The sequence below is a fragment of the Homo sapiens genome, chromosome 1 (genome assembly GCF_000001405.40).
Source record: "Homo sapiens chromosome 1, GRCh38.p14 Primary Assembly".
Lineage (NCBI taxonomy): Eukaryota > Metazoa > Chordata > Mammalia > Primates > Hominidae > Homo > Homo sapiens.
The window spans coordinates 200,931,306-200,956,431 of record NC_000001.11 but is presented as its reverse complement, the minus strand read 5'-3'; the positions used below and the strand labels follow the sequence as shown (position 1 = coordinate 200,956,431).

Sequence of the window (25,126 nt, the reverse complement as noted above, 5' to 3'; positions counted from 1 at the left end):
CTAGCAATTCAGCTGGAGAGTCAAGACTTAGGTACATGAACGACCTAGTGAACATTTCAAGGCAATAACAATACTACACAAATTAAAAGCAAGTAAAAAATTATTATAAACAGGTGTTGATTCATCTAGGAAAAGATTGTGAAAGAGGTAGAACTTGGCCAGGTGTGGTGGCTCATGCCTGTAATCCCAGCACTTTGGGAGGCCGAGGTGGGCGGATCACCTGAGGTCAGGAGTTCGAGACCAGCATGGCCAATATGGTGAAAGCCCGTCTCTACTAAAAATAAAAAAATTAGCTGGGCATGGTGGCAGGCACCTGTAATCCCAACTACTCGGGAGGTTGAGGCAGGAGAATCGCTTGAACCCGGGAGGCGGAGGTTGCAGTGAGCCAAGATCATGCCATTGTACTCCAACCTGGGGGACAAGAGCGAAACTTTGTCTCCAAAAAAAATTTAAAAAAAAAAAAAAAGAAAGGTAAAACTTGAGCTGAACTTGAATAAAGAGAACTTCAATGAGCAGATGGGAGGGGAACGTAAACATGTGTGTGTTTAACGGGAAAAGGTGGGTATAGCAAAACAAGGGCGAAATGTAGGGATAAGCTAAGCGTAATGTAGTTGAGGGAAGGGCAACTGGGTGCTGGCCCGACTCCAGAGGAGGATCCCATTGGCAAGAAATGTTGGGCGTGGGAAATGTGTTGGGTTGACAGAAGGTCCTAGGAGGAGAGAGATCAGCATGTTATCTTTTGGAGTTGCTCTAGTCAACTGTGGCGGCTCACACCTGTAATCCCAACTACTCTGGAGGTTGAGGCAGGACAATCACTTAAAGCCAGGAGTTGGGGACCAGCCTGGGCAACATAGCGAGACTCCCTGTCTCTAAAAAAAAGTTAAAATAATTGCTTCAAGCACAGGTAATAAGGGTCTGGACTAGGCCAGGGTAGTGGGAATGGAGAAAGGATGACCCTGAAGAACACTGCAAAGCACGTATTAGTCAGATTTACTGACGTGCTGAAAAAGCAAAAGAGAAAAGTCAAAGACAGTCCCCTAGAATAGTAACTTTTTTAAAGGGAGGGGGAAAAAGGAGAATTATTAAGAAATCATTGTCGGCCAGGCGCAGTGGCTCACGCCTGTAATCCTAGCACTTTGGGAGGCCGAGGCAGACGGATCACCTGAGGTCGGGAGTTCGAGACCAGCCTGACCACCATAGAGAAACCCCATCTCTACTAAAAATACAAAATTAGCCGGGTGTGGTGGCACATGCCTGTAATCCCAGCTACTCAGGAGGCTGAGGCAGGAGGATCGCTTGAACCCAGGAGGTGGAGGTTGCAGTGAGCTGAGATCGTGTCATTGCACTCCAGCCTGGGCACCAAGAGCGAAACTCTGCCTCAACAAAAAACAAAAAACAAAAGAAAGAAAGAAAAAAGAAAAAGAAAGAAATCCTTGTAATGATCATTCAACAGCACTGGGGACTCCAGGCTCTGCTGGGTGATATCGAAAAGCGATGCTGACTCCTAGGCAGTCAGCCTTGGCTGCATGTTAGTGTCACTTGCAAAGCTATTAAAAATGCTGATTCTTGGACCCCACGTCACCCCCAAGATTCTGAGTTAATTGTACTGAGTTGGCACCCAAGTATTAGTGTAAGTTCTCCTGGAGATATGAATATGCATCCAGGGTTGAGAACTCCTGCTCTAAGTGCACATGCTTTGGAATGAACATGCCAGATGGACACCTTGAGTCTGCACAGGTAGGCTGGCTCAGACTTACACATATCAGTACATTCACCTGGATAAACCAGCCTGGCATGCACTCTGTTTAAAAATAGACTAGCATGCACGTGATGGAAAACATTGCAATGGAAAAACACATGTAGTCATGCAAATGGAAAATCAGAAGTTAAATTAGTCTTGTAGACAAGAAAAAGCCAAACAATTCAATAGGACAATGGGCAAAGGACATGGGAAGGAATTCACAGAAAGGCGAATCCAAATCACAGAATTATATGCGGAATGTTCAAAATCAGTAGAAGCCAGGGATATGCAAACCAGAGCAGCAATGAGATACTGCTTTACACCAAGTCTGTCCAACGCACGGCCCACAGGCCCCACGCAGCCCTGGACAGCTTTGAATGTGGCCCAACACAAATTTGTAAACTTTCTTAAAACATTATGAGGTTTTCGCGATTTTTTTTTTTTTTAGCTCATCACCTACCATTAGTGTTAGTGTATTTTATGCGTGGCCCAAGACAATTCTTCTTCCAATATGGCCCAGGGAAGCCAAAAGATTGGACACCCCTGCTTTATACCTGCCAGGAGGACAAACATCTAAAAAGAGTTAAGCTTTGTTGTTGGAAGAGATAGAGACACCGTTCTCTCACACTTCCCTGAGATAAATGTGAATTGTTAGTGCTTCTTTGGAAAACAATCTGTCAACATCTATTATGTGTGTGTGATTATTTGAGCATGCAGAAGGGTACGTACTTGGTTGCTTGCATCTGAGATACTTGGGAGATGAAGAGGTGGAGGTGTAGACGTAATGTGGTAGGAGGGGAGAAGGCAAAAGTAGAAGAGAAAAAAAAAGACTGCACTTCAAAACTCAGTTTGTGGACCACTTGAGGTCAGAAGTTGAGACCAGCCTGGTCAACATGGCAAAACCCTGTCTCTACTAAAAATACAAAAATTAGCCAGGCGTGGTGGCAGGCATCTGTAATCCCAGCTGCTCAGGAGGCTGAGAAAGGAGAATCACTTGAACCCGGAAGGTGGAAGTTGCAGTGAGCCAAGATCATGCCACTGCACTCCAGCCTGGGCAACAGAGCAATACTCCTTCTCAAAAATAAATAATAAATAAATAGGCTGGGCATAGTGGCTCACACCTGTAATCCCAACACTTTGGGAGGCTGAGGCGGGTGGATCACCTGAGGTCAGGAGTTTGAGACCAGCCTGGCCAACAGTGAAACCCCGTCTTTACTAAAAATACAAAAAATTAGCTGGGTGTGGTGGCAGGCGCCTGCAATCCCAGCTACTCAGGAGGCTGTGGCAGGAGAATTGCTTGAACCCGGGAGGTGGAGGTCGCAGTGAGCTGAGGTTGCGCCATTACACTCCAACTTGGGCAACAAGAGCAAAACTCCATCTCAAAAAATAAAATAAAATAAAAAAATAATCAGTTTGCATGGTTTAATTTACTTATTCGTATTATATGTGTATATAGATTATTTTAAATAACATTTATTGCTTGATGACTTGTGATATAGAAAATATCTTTTAAATAATAAAATAACATTTAAAAAGGCAAAATTCAATCAGATACATTTAAAATATATGTACTTGCTTTAGTGTGCATGTATGCATGCACATATGAATGTACATTTGGCAAAGAAGTCTTCATTAACATCTCAGCAGTTTTCATCTGTCTTTGATTGGCAGTCAGGCAGATCCACCACCCTAATTTACCCTCTAGTTGAGTAAGTAACTTCTTAAATTCTCTGAGCCTCACTTTCGTGCTCTACAAAATAGAGGTAAATAACACCCTTTTCACAGAATTAGAGAGAATTAAAATAACAGAGCTCTGCTGTTTCTTGAGTACACTGAAGAAAAGCATACGACCTTTTCTGTTTTAAACGTTTCTACTTGTGATCATCTCAAGGAAATGAATAAAGATAATGAAGCAACAAACAGGGAGTGACAAAGGCTGTGAAATATTAGAAAGCTTTCTTAGCCATGGTCTCTCACTTAACAGATCTTGACTTACTTACTTAGCTGGTACCTAAAACCCCATTGGCTTTCCACTTTAGAATCTACTGCTTCTCTCTCTGATTGCTAAGAATGGGGTTCACCCATCTCGCTACTGGGGTGCTCCTTCCAGCCTCTTCCCAAGCATGCTGACCTCCCCTCCCCGTTATCAGCCCGAAACCCCAATCAGAGTGGCAGATGAGCAAACGCTCTATCGTGTGTCCCCTTGTTTCAGCTGGGTATCAGACACTTGGGGGAACTTCTAGAGTGATTCTCAATCCTAGCTGTATTTTAGAGCATCCCTTTAAACCTGGGAGCTTCTAAAACAAACTGATGCCTAGACCCCATCCCAGATCGATTCAAATAGAAAAATTTGACAGAGAGTGAGGGGCGGGGTGGGGGCTTGGCATTAGCATTTTTGAAACCTCCAGGGAGGATACTGATACGCAGCCAGGGTTCCCAATTACTGCTCTAAAGAGAGTGGCAGCTATCTCATGGTGGCCTCCTGTCCACACGGGTTTGTGCCTTGTACTGTTTCCCAAAGCTGGGTCCAAGCATTTCCTGTGGCACAGCCACCACTGGAGTACTTTTAGAAAATTAAGACTTCGTCTGGATGTGGTGGCTCACGTCTGTAATCCCAGCACTTTGGGAGGCCAAGGTAGGCGGATCACCTGAGGTCAGGAGTTCGAGACCAGCCTGGCCAACATGGTGAAACCCTGTCTCTATTAAAAGTACAAAAATTAGTCGGGCCTGGTGGCACATGCCTGTAGTCCCAGCTTCTCGGGAGGCTGAGGCAGGAGAGTCACATGAACCCAGGAGATGGAGGCTGCAGTGAGCCAAGTTCGTGCCATTGTACTCCAGCCTGGGCAACAGAACAAGACTCTGTCTCAACAAAAAAAAAAAAAAAGAAAAAAAGAAAATGAAGACTTCTGGAGGGTGGGCACAAAGGCAGGCGGATCCCTTGAGACCAGGAGTTCGAGACCAGCCTGGCCAACATAGTGAAACCCCCTCTCTACTAAAAATACAAAAATTAGCTGGGCGTAATGGTGCGTGCCTGTAGTCCCAGCTACTCAGGAGTCTGAGGCAGGAGAATTGCTTAACCTGGGAAGCAAAAGTTGCAGTGAGCCGAGATCATGCCACTGCACTCCAGCCTGGGTGACAGAGAGACTCCATCTCAAAAAAAAAAAAAAACCACCACCAGCAAAAAAGGCTTCTTGGCCTTACCCCAGACTTCCTGAATCCAAGTCTCTGGGGACAGGGCCCAGGAATCTGCATTTTAAACAGCTTCCCTGAGATATGAAGTTCATAAATTATCGAGATCCACTGGACTGAGCCATCCCCTTCCAGTCAGGGTTCTGAATCCTACATGTCTCATTCCCATACCCTGAGCAAAAGTTCTGCCAACATGACATATATCCTTGAATGTGTATCTCAGCACCCCATACCAACATGTACAGATCAGCCTCTAGCAGTGGACACCTTCCAACAAGACACCAGTGTCCTGTAATCCACATAAGGGCACACGATGACACACTGGGATAACATCAGTGTACATCCTAGTATTAGTAATGCATTATCTTCTATCTCTGTGGTTATGTTCAAAAGTAGTCCAGCCTCTGTTAAAAAAAAAAATCAGGTGGCTTGAATTTTAAAAGGATCCCATTTAAAGCTGTAGTGGGTCAGAAACTCTGAAATTCTCCCAAACACTGTTGGTGGAAGTCTAAATTGGTACAGCTCTACTGGAAAGCAATTTGGCATTATTGTTAAAAGTTATAGAAGACATTCATATTTTTTGAACCAATAGTTCCACTTATTATATTCAATAGTTAAGGAAATAATCTGTAATATGGGCAAAAACTTTCGCAGAGATGTTCATTAAACTGTTATTTATAATTGTGTAAAATTGGAAACAGAATGTCGAATAAATTACAGATCATCTTTGTGATGAAACATTATATCACCATTAACATTTATGTTTATAGGCCAGGCATGGTGGCTCACAACTGTAATCCCAGCACTTTGGGAGGCCGAGATGAGAGGATCACTTGAGCCCAGGAGTTCAAGACCAGCCTGGGAAGTATAGTGAGACCACTTCTCCATATTAAAAAAAAAATTTTTTTTTAATTAGCCAAGCGCGGTGCTACATGCCTGTAGATCTCGCTACTCAGAAGGCTGAGGTGGGAGAATCACTTGAGAACAGGAGATGGAGGCTGCAGTGAGCCATGATCACACCACTGCACTCCAGCTTGGCCAAGAGAGTGAGACCCTGTCTCAAAAAATAAAATAAAACAAAATTTAAAAATGTATGTTACAAAGAACATGTAATGACATATACAGATATTTGAATAGAGCAGGATACAGAATATTAGTAGAAAATGATTTCAACTAGCACACACGCACACACACACACCTGTATACAGGCAAAAACCTGAATGAATATGGTTTCCTCTGGGGATTATGCTTAGTGATGGCTTTATAATTTTTGATATACTTTTCCATATTTTCTAAATTTCCTATTTTTTTTCTGTCAGGTGGCTGAATTATATTGAGTCAATCAGGGACGCTAAGCAAGGATTAATTTTAAAAGGCTGCTCAAGGCTGAGGTGGTTGAAGGAGAGAGCTGTGTTCTTCTGTAAAGTCAGGGCAGAGTCAAACTGCCATGAGATTCAAGGAGGCACCAAAGCCCCCGGCTCAAGGTAACCAAATCAAGTGCCATTAGCCATGTCCCCCAACCCTTCCTAGCAGTGAATCAGTGGCCTTCCCAGGAGGTGTCTGTTGGACGTGGCTGTCTCACAGAGGGATCACCCTCACCTGCCCCCTCCCGCCAAGAGCCAGTCACCTCTGTCAGGAACACAAGGGCCGTTAAGTGATTCTTGCAGGTCTGGGTCCTGGAGGAACCTGATGATGGAGCTGAAGAGGGGGCGGTTGTGCCAACAGTTATTGATGACAACGGACCTATCAACAAGAGCACAGTGTTCAGGTGAGGCCTGGGCCGCAGGAGAGGGCCAAGTGAATGGACAGCCCTCCAGCCATGGACCCAGGTGCAGCTCACCTGGCCGGCAGAGTGACTCCGCCATAGTGTCTTTCAGGATTGACAAGCAGCCCCCAGACCCCATGTCTCTGAATAGAAGACACACAGTCCCCATATCCAGAACTTTGAATCAAGGTCTTCAGGGCCTCCATGGTAGAACTGGAGAAAGGGCCGAAAACAGATACGAAGTCATTCACCATCTGCGCTCCTCTCCCTCACTGGCCACCTGCCCGACTCCCAAAGCTTTCTCAGGATCATGAACTGCTGGTGGTGGGACAGCCTCCAGAGACCCAGGCTAATATTTTACAAGTGAGGCAACTGAGGCCAAGAGAGATGTGGCATCTGCAAGGTGACACAGCGAGCCAGCAGAAGGGTAGGAATGCAATCCAGGTCTGTGGATCCAGATGTGTGTTTTATCCACAGTATTGATCTCATTTTGGTGCAGAATCTCTGCATCAGCCTAGTAGGCCAGGTTTAAAGAAGGAGTCTTTTCTAAAAAGTCCAGACAGCTGGACTCGCACCAGTAATCCCAGCAACACAGCAGGCTGAGAGAAGAGGATGGCTTGAGGCCAGGAGTTCAAGACCAGCTTGGGCAAAATAGCAAGACCCTGTCTCTAAATAAATAAAATAATAAAATATAATTTTTTTAAGCCCAGGGACACTTCTTGAAATGATGCATGGGGAACATGTTAAATGCCCTGGCAGGAGGGTGTACAGAGGGTATTCAGGCTCAGTAGGCTGACACCAAGTCAGGCAAAGGTGCTAAGCTGATGGTCCCTGGAGCATAATCACTAGCAAACACCAAAGTACCTTATGGGGTCCATCCATTCAGCTATGTGTTGCTGATCCCGGCTTGTTTCAGCGTCCCCTTCAACCACCAAAAAGGAGATCTGGAACAGCAGGGCCATGAACAAGGAGGAGAAGAAGGACTGCACCTCCATCTGCCGACTGGGTTCCAGCAGGAGCTCATGGATGGCCCTGGTGGCCTTGGAGGGAGGAGGAGAGTGAAGCATTATCGTATCTTCGACTCATAGGTCCTGTCACCAGGAAATCTCTTTCCACAACCCATCACCATGACAGACTTGCCCAGTAAAACCCGTGCTGCTAGAGCAAGTGAAGACTAAGTTAGTGTGAGCCAGACAAATAAAGGGCAATTTCTAGAATGTCATTGTTTTAAAGCGCTCTTCTAATCATGGTGGTTGTTTTAGTCTCTTACCATCTTTGAGAGTTAAAGAGCAGCTGGGAAATCCAGTTCTTCTATCTCCCTGACAAAGCAAAGTTAACTGGAAAACCCTCCCTGCAACCCAACTCCAAGACTGCCATTATACTGTTCTACCAAACACCGATACCTAAAAGGTCAAGGCCAAAGAGCCCAAGGCAGCCGAGAACAGGACAGCAGGGAGTCCCCTTCCCCACCCCGGCCCCCCTCTTCTGGCCTTTCCATACAATCAATGGTGAGATCTCTGTTCTGTGGCTGGGCTCCTGGTCCTTTGGCCTCCAGTGTGGAGTCAGCCTCTGAAGCAGGTAGTCCACGATCATTTCGTAGCCTTTGGGGAAGGATGCCAGGATTTCCCAGGGTTTGCAAACCCCCCTGCAGAGTCAGAAACCCACGGACACAGTTACCCACTCCAGGTAACCCACTCTCCACAGGCTCCACAGTGCTTCCAGGGGAGGCGACTCTAGGCTCCTTTGCCCAGGCCCCTAGCTCCCCTGGTTTCTTCCTCCTTTCTTGTCTCTCTCTTCATTATCCCCTCTCTCTTTTTCCTTCTATTTCTTTCATCTTGCCATCACCTCCAGACCTCCCTGTTCTCTGTCATCTCACACAAATCTGGAAATGTTCACTTGGTCTATGAACCTGGTTTGAGAAAATATCTGAGGCCAAAGCTTGTTGACCACACTTGAATGTGTCAGATCAGTGAGAAGAGCCTCCCTGTGGGTCCCTTCTCTCTGGCCTGTCCAAGCTTTCACTACCCACCCACCCTCAGACCACTGCATCTGTCTTCCAGGCTTTCCCCTGTCATCCTTAATACCCAGCATGACCACACCCCTCTTCAGGCCAGGTCTGATCACCAGCCCCGCACAGCACCCCCAGCCTCACCCCATACACAAGCTCTCTCTCCTCTATCATTGGGCACATGCCTTTCCCTTTGCCTACCATGTCTCCCCTCTCATTTTTACCTGGAAAAATCACACTCAGAAGAAAAGTACATATCTGAAAAGCATTTGCTACAAATAACATAAAATTTTAAGAAAATGTGCTTAATGTCCTCAAGAAGTCATGGCCTTTTTGAAACAGGAGGAGAAAGCATTGAGGAAATGAAGGTGAGATAAAAGGTGAAGACAGACTTTCACAGCTGGCAAACAATACACGCATGCTCTGGGGACAAAAACAAGAGAGAAAAAATGAGTCGTCAGTGAAAGAATGGCAATGAGACTGACAGCCAACTTCTCCACAGAAACAGTGGAGAGCAGAAGACAGTGGGATAAACCTTCCAAGTGTGGAACAAAAATAAACATCAACCCACAAGTTCCCAGCAAATCTATCATTTAATGCAGATTTGCTTTATTTGTAGATAAACAAAAATAGATGGTTTGATCAATAGAGCCTCGCTAGAGGATAAACTCCTAAATAATACCTTTAGAGGTATTGTTTTCTCTTTCCCATTTAGGGAAAAGAAAAATAATTTCCTAAGGAAAGTTTGAGGTGCAAGGGATGGTGAGCAAATAAAATGGTAAATATGCCTATAAATCAAACACAATATTAGAGTAAGAATGAGCATAACAGCACTGTTAATAATAGCAAGAAGCTGGAAACAACAAATAGTCATTAAAAAAATGGGTAAAATAAGTTTGTAGTTATTGTACAATGAGATATTATAAAACAATTAAATAAGCTTGGTCTGGCTGAGTGAGGTGGCTCACACCTGCAATCCCAGCACTTTGGGAGGCCGAGGAGGGAGGATTGCTTGAGCCCAGGAGCTCAAGACCAGCCTGGGTGACATGGTGAGACCCATCTGTACTTTAAAAATATACAAAAAAGGAAAATAAATAAATAAACAAGCCTGGTCTAATAGATGACTTTGCATGCAGTAGAGAATATAAATTTATTTCAAATAGCCATTAAACATATAGTAAAATTGATAACATTAATCTTCCTGGTCTATACACACAAAAGAACCCCTCAACACATTCTCAAAAGGAGAAGACATTTAGATCATGTTTTCCAGTTATCATCCAATAAAACTAGAAAAAGATGATCAAAATATCTAACCACTTGGAAATTAAAAGGTTAAAGAAAGAAACCTGTATACATTTGTATAAATATGTCATTAGATGTTGTAAGGGCATTTGGTATTTCAAAGCCTAATTTTTATTTTTCAAAAAAACTCAGCAGATTTTACCATTTCTTTGTGTTGAAAGCATTCAAAAGCCTCTCCTCTGGCTGTTTTGTAATATATGATACCTTACTGTTGACCACAGTCACTCTACTATGCCAGAACTTTTTCTTCCTATCAGATTATAACTTTGTCCAGCCGGGTGCAGTGGCTCACCCTGTAATCCCAGCACTTCGGGAGGCCAAGGCAGGCAGATCACCTGAGGTCAGGAGTTTGAGACCGGCCTGGCCAACATGATGAAATCTCATCTCTACTGAAAATTCAAAAATTAGCCATGCATGGTGGTACAGGCTTGTAATCCCAACTCCTCGGGAGGCAGGCAAATCGCTTGAACCCGGGAGACAGAGGTTGCAGTGAACCAAGATTGCACCACTGCACTCCAGCCTGGGCTACCGAGCGAGACTCTGTCTCAAACCACCCCCGACCCAAAAGAAAACACTCTAATTATATGATATCAACCTTTTATTAAACAATTCCACATGAGTGGAAAAAAAATACTCAGCAGATATAGACTAGAAAGACACTTCCTTCTCATGATAAAGGAAATTAACAACAAGCAATCCTAATTTCCCTAGTAAGAGAGTCTACACAATCTGCTAGGACAGAGCAAGTCCACTCCAGCCCAGCTCTCGCACCAGTTAAAACTAAAAACACTGGACAAATACAAAAAGCAACTACCTCCCAACACTGGAAAAACAACATTTGAGTGAGTTTCCCAGAATTCTTTTTTCTCTATTATCTTCCAGCTTTGACCCGAAGGTGACCCGAGTGCTGAACTATGCAGCAGGCACAGGCAACAAAATCTCTTAGTAAAACTCTGTCTCTCTGGCCAGAGGACTGGGAAAATGGGTCCTTGTGAGTTGGAGAAGTATGGGTGGAATCTTTGTTTCTTTCTTTCTTTGTCTCTTTCCTCTCCCAAGCTCTGTCCCGAGAGTGAGTCCAGATGCAGAGCTGCACAGTGGAAGCAGTTGGGGCAGCAACAAAAGCACCTAACACAGGGCACTGTGGCCCACTGAGTGTAGGGGTGGGGGAAGCGCTATTTTTTTCTCTCTCTCTCTTTTTTCTCATTTCATCACCCTGAAGCCAGATCCAGTTGTGCAGCTGTAGCAGCACAGGCAGCTAAAACTCTGAGAGATGGCCGGGTGCACTGGCTCACACCCATAATCCCAACACTTTGGAAGGCCAAGGCAGAAGGACCCCTTGAGGCCAGGAGTTCAAGACCAGCCTGAGCAACATAGTGAGATCCATTCTCTAAAAAATGAATTTAAAAAATAGCGGGCATGGTGGCACATGCCTGTAGTCCTAGCTACTTGAGGGCTGAGGCAGGAGGATCACTTGAGCCCAGGAGTTCTAGGTTGCAGTGAGCTATGATCACGTCACTGCACTCTAGCCCGAGTAACAGAGCACGACCCTGTCTAAAAATAATAATAATTATACTTTAAGTAGACATTTTAATCATGCTGCATGAGGTAAAGATGTACATAACTGAAATAAATGGAAAGGTCTGGAGTGGTGGATCACACTTGTAATCCCAGCACTTTGCGAGGCTGAGGCGGGAGATCACTTGAGCCCAGGAGTTCAAGACTAGCCTGGGCAACATAGAGAGACCCTGTCTCTACAAAAAGTTTAAAAAATTAGCTGGGTATGGTGCCATATCCCTGTGATCCCAGCTACTCAGGAGGCTGAGATGGGAGGATAGCTTTAACCTCGGAGGTTGAGTCTGCAATAAGCTATGATCATGCCACTGCACCCTACCTGGGGCAACAGAGAAAGACTCTGTCTCAAAAAAGAACTAAAGAAAGAGAGAGAGAGAGAGAAGCAAAGAAACAAAGAAAGAAGTGGAAAGACGGATTTTCTCATGTTCTTAGCTGAGGAATAAGCTATTTTTTAAAAAAACCAAATGGAAATTTTAGAACTGAAAAACACAATATCTGAAACAAAAATTCACTGGATGAGATCAAGAGGAAAATGGAGATTGCAGAGAGAAGGGTTCATGAACTTGCAGATGAATCAATAAAAATTATACCAATCTGAAGAACTAAGAAATTAGAAAAAAATTAACAGAGCTTCAGGGACTTATAGGACACCATTAAAAAGTCGAATATTCATGTCATTGAAATCTTATAAAAAGAAAAAGAGACTTGTACAGAAAAAAATATCTGAAGAAATAATGACCTAAAACTTCCCAAATTTGGTGAGAGACATACATTTACAGATTCAAGAAGTGCAGTGAAGTTCGAACAAGATACATCAATCACAAGACACATTGTGATTACATTAAGAGCCCACTTGAGTAATTCACAATAATCTCCCTTTCTCAAGATTCTTAGCTGAAAAAGCCCCTTTGCCATTGTCTCAGTTTGTATTGTGCTGCTATCACAAAATCTCATAGACTGGGTAATTTATAATAAACAGAAATTTATTGGCTGGGCACAGTGGCTCACGCCTGTAATCCCAGCACTTTGGGAGGCCAAGGCAGGCAGATCACTTGAGGCCCAGAGTTCGAGACCAGCCTGGCCAACATGGCAAAACCCCGTCTCTACTAAAAATACAAAAAAATTAGCTGGGTATGGTGGTGGGCTCCTGTAATCCCAGCTACTCAGGAGGCTGAGACAGGAGAATCACTTGAACCCAGGAGGCAGAGGTTGGAGTGAGCAGAGATCACGCCATTGCACTCCAGCCTGGGTGCCAAGAGCTGGTGACAAGAGCGAAACTCTGCCTCAAAAAAAAAAAAAAAAGAAGGTAAAATTGAAACATTCTCATATGGAAGAAAACTAAGAATTTATCACTCAAAGACATGCTCTAAATTAAATGCTAATGAAGTTCTTCAAGCAGAAAAGAAATTGTATCAGAGTGAAAGTTGAAATTTTAACAATGAAGATAAAGCAACAGGAATGGCAAATATATGAGTAAATGTAACAGACCGTTCTTCTCCTCTTAAGTTTAAAAATATGTATGACTATCGAAAGCAAAAATTAGGCCGGGCAAGGTGGCTTACACCTGTAATCCCAGCACTTTGGGAGGCTGAGGCGGGCGGATCACTTGAGGTTCAAGGAGTTCAAGACCAGCATGGCCAACATAGTGAAACCCCATCTCTACTAAAAATAGAAAAATTAGCTGGGTATGGTGACGTGCGCCTGTAATCCCAGCTACTTGGGAGGCTGAGGCAGGAGAATCGCTTGAACCCAGGAGGCGGAAGTTGCAGTGACCGAGATCGTGCCACTGTGCTCCAGCCTACAAGACTCTGTCTCAAAAAAAAGTAAGGTAAAAGAAGCTGTATAGTGAAAGCTTCTACATTTTCTCAAAATTGTGAAATACTAACTCTAAGCAGACTATGGAAATTTAGGTATGTAAGTAGACTATAAAACTTTAGGCATATAAATGCCCAGGAATCCACTAAAAATTGGTACAAAGAATCAAAATCTAATAGACAAGTTAAAATAGAATGCTTAAAAAAATTCAAACAATTTGAAAGAATGCAGGAAAGGGGAACACAGGAATAAAAAACAAAGGGGAAAAACAAAATAAATCATAAAATGGTAGACTTAAATCCAAACATATTATTAATTACTTTAATTATAAATGATTTAAATACGCAAACTAAAAGGTAGAGATTGTTAGGTTAGATAAAAACACAAGTCCAACCATATGCTATATTAAAAAAACATTTTAAATATAATTATACATATTAGTTAAAAGAATGGAAAAAGATATACCACACAAATACAAACTGTTTGAAAAGCAAAAATGGCCATACTAACATCAGACAAAGGGAACTTCAGAACAAAGAGTATTACCAGGGACAAAGAGGGACATTAATTAATGGTAGAACAGTCAATTCATCAAGAAGATGTAGCAATCTTAAATGTATATACACCTAATGAAATACATGAAGCAAAAAATGATAAAACCGAAGGAACAAATAGATAAATCCATAAGCATATTGGGAGACTTCAACACTCCTCTCTCAGTAATTGACAGAATATGTAGACAGAAATTCAGCAAGGTTATAAAAGTCCTGAACAACACTGTGTTGTTCTATAACCTAACTTACAGAACACTCCAGGCAACAACAGCAGAATACACATTCTTTTTTTTTTTTTTTTTTGAGACAGGCTCTCACTTTGTCACCAGGCTGGAGTGCAGTGGTAGGATCTCAGCTCACTGCAACCTCCACCCCCTAGGTTCAAGTGATTCTCCTGCCTCAACCTCCTGAGTAGCTGGGTATACAGGCGCGCACCACCGTCCCTCGTTAATTTTTGTATATTTAGTAGAGACAGGTTTTCACCATGTTGGCCAGGCTGGTCTTGAACTCCTGGACTCAGGTGATGCAGCCACCTTGACCTCCCAAAGTTCTGGGATTACAGCCATGAGCCACTGCGCCTGGCCAGAATACACATGCTTTGTAGGTGCACATGAGCATTCCCCATAATATACCACATTCTGGGCTACAAAACAAACCTGAGCAAATTTTATAGAAAAGGAATCCCATAAAGTATGTTATCTGGCCTTAATAAATTTAAACTAGAAATCAGTAACAGAAATATACCTGGACAATCCACAAATATTTGGAAATTAACAATACTTCTAAGTAATTCATGGGTGAGAGAAAAAGACTCAAGGAAAATTAGAAAAAATTTTTGAACTAAATGAAAATGAAAATACAATATATCAAAATTTGTTAGATGCAGGTAAAACTATGCTTAGGGGAACATTCATAGCATAAAAATGCTTATTTTAAAAAAGAAGAAAGTTCTCAAATTAGTAATTTACATTTCCACCTTAAGTGACTAGAAGATGAGCAAATTAATAGATAATCTGAATGACCCTAACTAATAAATAAATTCAATCCATAGTTTTAAAACTTCCAACAAATACAACTCTAGATCCAGATGGTTTCAGTATTGAATTCCACTAAATGTTTAGAAAAAAAGTAATACCAATTTTACACAATTTCCTCCAAAAAATAGAAAATAAGAAAATAGGCTGGACACGGTGGCTCACTCCATTAATCCCAGCACTTTGGGAGGCCGAAGTAGACAGATCATGATGTCAGGAGTTTGATGACAGCCTGGCCAATATGGTGAAAACCTTGTCTACTAAAAAATACAAAAATTAGCTGGGTGTGGTGGCACATGCCTGTAGTCCCAGCTACTCAGGAGGCTAAGGCAGGAGAATCACTGGAACCTGGGAGGTGGAGGTTGCAGTGAGCCAAGATCGTCCCACTGCACTCCTGCCTGGGCGACAGAGCAAGACTGTCTCTCAAAAAAAAACAAAAAAAAGATAAAGAAAAAGAAAATACTCCCAAAACAATCTTTTGAGTTCAGCATTATCTTGGCACAAAAACCCAAGACAGTACAAGAAAAAAGAGAAAGAATAAATGAATGAAAGAAAAAACTACAGACCAAATATCTCCCATGAAAAAAATCCTCAACCAAATAGACACAAAAGTCCTCAACAAAATATTAGCAAATCGAATCCAGCAATATGTTAAAAAGATAATACATCACAACCAAATGGGGTTTATCCTGGGAATGCAAGACTGCCTCCACAGTCAAAAATGCAATTTATTATATTAACAGAATACAAAAGAAAAACCACACAATTATCTCAATAGATGTAGTTAAAACATTTGTGATAATCTCCATTAGTGGTAAACACTCGCAACAAACTAGAAATAGAAGGAAACTTTCTAAACTTGATAAAGGACATCTAACATCAACAACAACAAAACCCTACCATCTAGCACCATACTTAATGGTGAAAGACTGAAAGTTTTTCCTCTAAGATTGGGAATAAAGCAAAGATGTCCACTGTCATCACCCATACTCAGCATTATGCTAGGAGTCCCAGCCAGTGTAATAAAGCAAGAAAAAGAAACACAAATTTGGAAGAAAAAGAAACACTATAAACTGCTTCTATTTACAGATGATATGATGGTTTATGTAGAAAACTCCAGTGAATCTATTAAAAAGCTCCAAGAACTAATAAGTGAAACCTCACTTATTGCAGGATATAAAGTCAATGAAAGTCAATATACAAAAATTGATGTTATTTCTATGTAGCAGTAGTAAACAATTAAAAATTTAAAAAAGATTTATGTACCATTTACAATTGCACAAAAATACTTAGGTATAAAACTAACAAAATATTCACAAGATCTGTGTGTTGAAAAATACAAAAGACTGATGAAAGAAATTAAAGACCTAAATAAATGAGATACGCTATGTTCATGGACCAGAAACTCAATATTGTGAAGTTGTCAATTCTCCTTATACTTATCTATAGATGCAACATAATCCCAATAAAAATATCACCAGCATATTTTTAAATAAATAAATATTCTATTTAAATTATAAAATTTATACGGAAAAGCAGGCCAGGCGTGGCGGCTCATGCCTGTAATCCCAGCACTTTGGGAGGCCGACACAGGCAAATCATGAGATCAGGAGTTTGAGACCAGCCTGGCCAACATAGTGAAACCCCATCTTCACTAAAAACACAAAAATTAGCCGGGTGTGGTGGCACACACCTGTAGTCCCAGCTACTTGGGAGGCTGAGGTGAGAGAATCACTTGAACCTGGGATGTGCAGTTTGCAGTGAGCCAAGACCATGCCATTGCACTCCAGCCTGGGTGACAGAGTGAGACTCTGTCTCAAAAAAAAAAAAATTATATGGAAAAGCAAAATAAAATAGTCAAAACAATTTTGAGAAAGAGTTATAGGCCAGGTGCAACTGCTCACACACCTGTATTCCCAGCTACTTGGGAGGCTGAGGTGAGAGAATCACTTGAACCTGGGATATGCAGTTTGCAGTGAGCCAAGACCATGCCATTGCACTCCAGCCTGGGTGACAGAGTGAGACTCTGTCTCAAAAAAAAAAAATTATATGGAAAAGCAAAATAAAATAGTCAAAACAATTTTGAGAAAGAGTTATAGGCCAGGTGCAACTGCTCACACCCTGTAATCCCAGCACTTGGGCTGAGGCGGGAGAATCATTTGAGCTCAGGAGTTTTGAGACCAGCCATGCAACATGGTGAGACCCCGTTTCTACCAAAAAAAAAAAAAAAAAAAGGCTGGGTGAGGTGGCATGTGCCTGTGGTTCCAGCTACTCAGGAAGTGGAAGTGGGAGGATTGCTTCAGCCCAAAAGTTCAACGCTGCAGTGAGCTATGATTGCACCACTGCACTCCAGCCTGGGTGACAGTCAGACTCTATCTCAAAAAAAAAAAAAAAAAAAAAAGTAATAAAATTGAAGAACTCATCCTACCTGATTTAATACTTAAAATAAAACTACACTATTAGAGACAGTACGGTATTGATGAAAGAACTGACATATAGCTTAATGGATCAGAAGACAGCCCATAATTAGAGGCACACAAATACTGTCAACTGATTTTTTTTTTTTTTTTTTTTTTTTTTTTTTTTAGGCAGGGTCTCACTCTGTCACCCTGGCTGGAGTGCAGTGGCGCGATCTTGGCTCACTGCAACCTCCACCTCCCCAGTTCAAGTGATTCTCATGCCTTAGCCTCCCAAGTAGCTGGGATAACAGGTGCAAGCAACCATCCCCGGCTAATTTTTGTATTTTTAGTAGAGATGGGGTTTTGCCATGTTGGCCAGACTGGTCTCGAACTCCTGACCTCAAGTGATCTGCCCACCTTGGCTTCCAAAAGTGCTAGGATTACAGGCGTGAGCCACCACGCCCAGCCGTCAATTGATTTTTGATAAATGTGCAAAGACAATTCAGTGGAGAAATGATAATCTCTGCAACAAATGGTGCTGGAACAATTAGACTTCTATATGCAACAAACTGAACCTAGTCCCATTCCTCACGCTTTCTAAAAAGTAAAAGTGAAATATAAATATAAAACACAAAAGTTAAAACTTCTAGAAGAAATCATGGAAAGAAATACCTATGACTCTAAATATGATCCATAAGAAACAAAACACTGGATTTCATCAAATTACAAACTTTTGAACTCTTAAGAGAATGAAAAGACAATCCACAAAATGGGAGATATACATGAAAATTGTATATCTGACAAAAGACTTGTATACAGAATATATAAAGAACTCTCAAAACTCACCAATAAGAAAACAAACGACCCAACAATGAAATGGGTTAAAGATTTGGATACTTGACTAAAGAAGATATATGAATGGCAAAGAAAGACATGAAACGATGCCCATCATCATTAGTTGCAATTGAATTAGGGAAATGCAAATTAAAACCACAATGAGAGGCTACCACACACTTGTTAGAACAGCTACCTATCTATCTATATCTATATATATATATTAGACAGCATCTCACTCTATCTCCCAGGCGGGAGTGCAGTGGCACGATCTCGGCTCACTGCAACCTCCGCCTCCCAGGTTCAAGCGATTCTCCTGCCTCAGCCTCCTGAGTAGCTGGGATTACAGGCCCCCGCCACCACGCCTGGCTAATTTTTGTATTTTTAGTAGAGATGGGGTTTCACCATATTGGCCAGGATGGTCTTGAACTCCTGACCCCAGATGATCCACCGACCTCGGCCTCCCAAAGTGCTGAAATTACAGGCGTGAGTCACCGTGCCCAGCCGCTACTTTTTTCCTTTTTTTTTTGGAGATGGAGTTTCGTTCTTGTTGCCCAGGCTGGAGTTCAATGGCGTGATCTCGGCTCACTGCAACCTCTGCCTCCCAAGTTCAAGCAATTCTCCTGACTCAGCCTCCTGAATAGCTGGGATTACAGGCACCCGCCACCACGCCTGGCTAATTTTTTGTATTTTTAGTAGAGGCGGGGTTTCACCATGTCAGCCAGGCTAGTCTCGAACTCCTGACTCCCAGGTGATCTGTCCACCTGGGCCTCCCAAAGTGCTGGGATTACAGAAGTGAGCCCCTGCTCAGGTCCTGAATATGTTTTAAGAAGAAGCAAACAGACTATTGGGGGCATGTACTTGTGGGATCGAAAGTCACCTACTTTTGTGACTGATCTTCTATCTTCAATACTGTCAGGATAACTTCAGTGTAGTACTGGGACAGCAGATACAGGATCTTCTTAATGGTCTTTTGGGCTGTGGTTTCTGTAATGCTGTTCATGTGGTAGTGAATGTACTGGATGATTTCCAGCACCTGAAATGAGGGAAAAGGAGGTTCTTTCCAGACATTCAACACCAGATCACCAGCATCCACATAACTAGGCACCCACTTCACCTGTAGAGCTGCACATGATGCATACATAGCATGCCCAGACCAAAAAAGTCACCGTCCCACTGCACTCTGCTCTGGTCAGGCCATACCCTCAGGACTGTGGACTGTTTTGGACCCTATGGGGCCTGAAGCAACCCCATGTTGGATGCTAATCCACCATATTGACTTTTTTTTGTTTTTTTTTTTTTTTTGAGACAGAGTCTCGCTGTGTCGCCCATGCAACTGGAGTGCAGTGGTGAGATCTCAGCTCACTGCAACCTCCACCTCCTGGGTTTTATCGTGCCTCAGCCTCCCGAGTAGCTGGGATTACAGGTGCACATCACCTCTCCCGGCTGATTTTTTTTGTGTTTTTATTGGAGACAGGATTTTACCATGTTGCCCACGCTGGTCTTGAACTCCTGGGCTCAGGCAGTCTGCCCACCTCGGCCTCCCAAAGTGCTAGGGTCACAGGCATGAGCCACAGCGCCTGGCCTACAATATTGACTTCTTTTTTTTCTTTTTGTTTAATTTTTTCCTTTTCTTTTCGTTTTGGTCACCATATTGACTTCTGATTAATCTCGGTTCCCAGAATACCTCTAAGATTTCTACTTGATCTATTTTTTTTTTTTTTTTTTTTTAGACAGAGTCTTGCTCTATCGCCAGGCTGGAGTGCAGTAGCACCATCTCAGCTCACTGCAACCTCCACCTTCTGAGTTCAAGAGATTCTCCTGCTTCAGTCTCCCGAATTGCTGGGACTATAGGCACTCACCACCACGCCCAGCTAATTTTTGTATTTTTAGTAGAGACAGGGTTTCACTATGTTGGCCAGGATGGTCTCGATCTCCTGACCTCCTGATCCACTCGCCTCGGCCTCCCAAAGTGCTGGGATTACAGGCGTGAGCCACCGTGCCCGGACTTACTTTATCTATTGTTGCTGTAAATCCAGTCCTTAGGTCGAAACAACCCTTACCATAAATCCTGCCCTTAGGGCAGATTTGCGTAGCATTCTTGCTTTTTCCTGAGGGGTTGATTTTAATTGCCCAACACATTCCTTCTCTAAGGTATATTTGTTAGTTTCTTAGAGACAGGGTAGTGGCATGCTCATAGCTCACTGCAGACTTGATGTCCTGGGCTCCAGTGATTCTCCCACCTCAGCCTCCCAGTAGCTGGGACTAGAGGCACACCCACCATGTCCGACTCCTATTGTATAGAAGCCCTGGGCCATGGTGGGTGATGGCTGGGGGGTCCACCATCTCATCTCGCAGCCTCCTGGGACATGGCTTCTGTTTTGTTTTTTGTTTTGTTTCAGACGGAGTCTGGCTCGGTCGCCCAGGCTGGAATGCAGTGGCGCAATCTCAGCTTACTGCAACCTCCACCCCCCGGTTTGATCCTCCTTCCTCAGCCTCCCAAGTAGCTGGGACTACAGGCACATGCCACCACGCCCGGCTAATTTTTGTATCTTTAGTAGAGATGTGGTTTTGCCATGTTGGTCAGGCTGATCTCAAACTCCTGACCTCAGGTGATCCACCTCCCTCAGCCCCCCAAAGTGCTGGGATAACAGGCGTGAGCCACCACGCCGGGTCTTTTTTTTTTTTGAGACGGAGTTTCCTTCTGCCTCCCAGGCTGGAGTGCGGTGGCGCAATCTGGGCTCACTGCAACCTCCGCCTCCTGGGTTCAAGCAATTCTCCTGCCTCTGCCTCCGGAGTAGTTTCTTTCTCAGAAACTGGATTCATCAACCTCTTTCTTTGACCTCTCAGCTTCCTTGGATTTTAAGGGTAGCTTTATACAGACCTGCCCACCACGGAACAGACCCCATATTTTAAGAGGGACAAAATAGAGAGCAGCCAGGGGAGACCAGAACCATGTCTGGAAACCATGTCATGAAGAATGAAGGAAGAATCTAAGGATGAGTAACTTAGAGAGAGGAAGCCGGAGGGCATACGATTGCTGCCTCCAAATGGTCTCAAGACTATTATGGAGGGAGAGAAGAGTCAGTCCTTGCTGTTTACTGGCCATGTGGGGTGGAGGCAACAGGTAGTGGTCCGCATGAACTCTAAAGTCATACTACCTGGATGTGAATTTCACCTCCCCACTTGCCAACTGTGTGAGCTTGGGAAAGCTTTTCATCCTCTGCGCTCTATTTCCTCACGCAAAATATGAGGACGATTTTACCCACATCAACAGTTCTGAGTTAATGCATCTGAATTGGTTGGAACAGTGTCTGTTACCTAGTAACTGCTGGCGAAACTTCAGTAATTAAGGCTCATGGCGTCTTTGAGCCTTTTCTCGTTTTGTTTTTCTTTCGAGACAGGGTCTAGCTCTGGTGTCCTAGCTGGGGTGCAGTGGCGCAATTATAGCTCCCTGCAGCCTCCATCCCGTGAGTTCAAGCTATCCTCTCATCTCAACCTCCCTAGTAGTTGGGACTACAAGTGTGTGCCACCATGCGCAACTAATGCTTTTGATTTTTAGTAGAAATGAGGTCTCACTATATTGCCCAGGCTGGTCTTGAACTCCCAAACTCAAGCGATCCTCCTTCCTAGGCCTCCCAAAGTGCTGGGATTACAGGTGTGAGCCACTGCACCTGGCCTTCTCGTTTCTAAAGAGAAAATAATTCTTACAACAGATATGTTGTAAGAATTCAATACAAGAATATGTAAAAGAAACTAGCACAGTATATAGCACCTAGCATTAGTAACACTTGAATATTAATTGAATTCTGCATAACCCAAGAAGGTAAACTTGGGCCAGGGACTAGAAACTATGGGGATGCAGACTTCAGTGTGCTGTAAGTTAGAACTTTTAGATAAGGAAAGTGGTTCACCCTTATACACTGTTGGTAGAATGTAAATTAGCACAACCATTATGGAAAATTCCAACATTATGGAGGTTATTCAAAAAACTAAAAGTAAAACTACCAATACCACTTAAGGGTATATAGCCAAAGAAAATGAAGCCAGTGTCTGGAAGAGATATCTGCACTCCCCTGTTCATTGCAGCGTTTTTTGTAATAGCCATGATAGGGAAAGAACCTAAGCTTCCAACAACAGATAAATGGATAAAGAAAATGTGGCATATACACAATGGAATGCTATTCACCCTTAAAAATGAAGGAAACCCTGTCATTTAACAGTATACATGAACCTGTTTTGTTTTGAAAAACAAAACAAGCCAGGTATAGAAAAACAAATACTGGGTGATCTCACTTAGATGTGGAATCTAAAAAAGTCAAACTCATAGAAGCAGAGAGTACAATGGTGGTTACCAGGGGCTGGAGGTGAGGAGGATTGGGGAGATATTGGTCAAAGGATACAAAATTCCATTTAAACAGGAGAAATAAGTTCAGATCTATTGTACAACATGGTGACTATTCTATACTTGAAATTTGCTAAGACAGTAGATTTTCAATGTTCTCACTACAAAAAAAAAGTATGTGAGTTAATCGATATGTTAATTAGCTTGGTTTAGCCATTCCACAATGTATACATATTTCAAAATATCATGTTGTATGCCATAAATATATATCCTTTTGGTAAATTAAAAATTATTTTTTTTAAAAAAGAAAGTCATTTACAAATACAAATGAGCTATGGTTTAAGGTAGCGAGGGCCTCAAGATTGCTTTCAGCACCGTCTGGGTGTCCAGTGGTCTGGGGTGCTCTCGAAGAGATTACGAGCATTGTGCTCGCTTCACAGATACTAAAATTGGAATAACACAGAGAAGATTAGCATGGCCCCTGCACAAGGATGACATGTAAATTCGTGAAGCATTCCATACAAAATAGATTTAAAACCTTAAAAAGAGATTACAAGCATCAAGTGGGGAGTTAGAGTAGTTGACCTTTGGGGTCCCCTTCAACTTATCAGTGGTCTGCTCTGAGGCATTCAATCAAAAGGCAATCCAGGCCAGAGAAGTGGAAAATGTAAGATCCTGGAACTGCTCATAGGACCTATAGTGGAGAGGTCATAAGTGAGTTAGAGAAGTGGGTTAGGCCATTAAAAGAAGAGGGACTCCATCAGTCCATCAGATATTTTAAAATACTATAATAAAAAGGACAGCTAAACTGTGCTGTCTTAATTTTTTTATTAATGTTTTTAAGAGATGGGGTCTTGCTATATTGCCCAGGCTGGTTTCAAACTCCTAGGCTCAAGTGATCCCCCTACCTCAGCCTCCCAAAGTGCTAGGATTACAGGTGTAAGCCACTACGCCCAGCCCTACGCTGTCTTAATTTTACTGAGAACCAGTCCCAGGTCTCATAAAGGAGTCTCTGTATTTCATCTCTATTTATGTTAGTGTGTCACAAGTTTATGGATATATATTATATTTATATTTATATACACACACACCCCTGAATTATCCCTCCTGAATAAACAAGAAGGCACCTATAGATCTAACATATCAAATACTGTCTGGAAGCAGGAAGAATGACTGTGGTCTTTCCTGGTCCTAGCAGGTCCTAGTAGTCTGCTATAGCTTTGACTCAATTCTTCTTCCCATCCTGGTGGAGATGGAAGCCAGATGGTCAACCCTTCCCAAAGAAGAGTCTTTTCCACAATCACAACTCCTCATTTAGCCTTTTCTCCTCTGGGTTGAAGCATGTGATTCTTTAAACTCAAACTGGTAGGAGATAGAACAAGACCCAAAACAGAACAGAAAGGAAGAATCCTTAAATTGACCTTGAACCATTAGGTTGCCCAGAGCTGCTACCTTCCCGATCTCTGGAATCGTGTACTTCAGGATCATCTTTAACATCTTGGAAGCTGCAGAGATGTCACGCCTGCTGGTGTTGGTCATGGCCTCCATGCTCACCATGATCATATCTGCTCTCTTCTCAGGGTTCAGGTATTTCTTGAAGAACTGAAGAAAGAAGAACAGCTGTCTCCACAATGTCAGCATCCCAACTTGGGTCTGCCCCAAAGCCTCTGGCTTCCAAAGAGACTAATCAACCAGGGGCCAGTGGAGGCAGCCCCTGGTCAGCATCTGGCTATTCCGTGGTGTAAGCCAAGCCTCAGAGTGCCACCAGCTCTGAAGTCTCCAGGAAGGAGCAATGGTCCTGACAACTTGATACAGAAGACAATGCAAAAGGCATTTCTACTTCCATGTGGAATGCAAGCAAGTGAGTCCATTGGAAATTAGTTCTGATGTTTAGTGAGCTTGCAGCATTCCAAAGCAAGTAGGAGTGCTATTATGTACAGCAGACATGCCTCATGCCTCTGAGCCTGCACCTGCATATCCACGTGAAGCTCATTCACTCAAACAATATTGAGGCCCAGCTCTGTGCCTGGTTCTATTGCTGGGAGCTCAGGACAACTGTGACTAAGACATACAATGCCTTTACCCTCAAGGAATTTACCATCAAGTCAGGGCAAGTAAACAGGCAGTTATAGTGCAATGTCAGTGATACAGTTTGGCTGTATTCCCACCCAAATCTCATCTTGAATTGTAGTTCCCATAATCCTCATGTGTCAAGGTGGTTACCCTCATGCTGTTCTTGTGATAGTGAGTGAGCTCTCACAAGATCTGATGGTTTTATAAGGGATGTTTTCTCCTTTGCTCAGCACTTCTCCTTCCTACTGCCATGTGAAGAAGGATGTGTTTGGTTCCCCTACTGCCATGATTCAGACCCAAGGAAAAAGAAGGACAGAGTTCCAGGCAGAGGGAACAGAATATGCAAAGGCCTGGAGTGGAAGGAAGTTCAGCCTAACTACTGTGTCCTGCAAGGGAGACCTGGGCCAGATGGAAAAAGGAGACTAAGACAAGATGAGGCAGGACAGTTACAGCAGGGACCAGATCATGAAGGGTCTTGTGGGTCAAGTGAAC

At 43.0% G+C, this 25,126-nt stretch overlaps 2 pseudogenes across 1 annotated transcript in view; one reads left to right on the top strand and one right to left on the bottom strand.

Annotated features, from left to right (window-relative positions):
• Positions 1 to 25,126, bottom strand: part of MROH3P (maestro heat like repeat family member 3, pseudogene) — a 37,725-nt pseudogene that overhangs the window by 10,237 nt on the left and 2,362 nt on the right. Inside the window, exons 3-8 of the transcript NR_147176.1 lie at positions 24,014 to 24,163; positions 19,101 to 19,252; positions 8,196 to 8,340; positions 7,560 to 7,735; positions 6,771 to 6,908; positions 6,558 to 6,673 (exon numbers count right to left, since the gene is read on the bottom strand). The product of NR_147176.1 is annotated as a maestro heat like repeat family member 3, pseudogene (transcript). The remainder of the gene's footprint in view (positions 1 to 6,557; positions 6,674 to 6,770; positions 6,909 to 7,559; positions 7,736 to 8,195; positions 8,341 to 19,100; positions 19,253 to 24,013; positions 24,164 to 25,126) is intronic.
• Positions 22,985 to 23,087, top strand: RNU6-704P (RNA, U6 small nuclear 704, pseudogene; annotated as a pseudogene).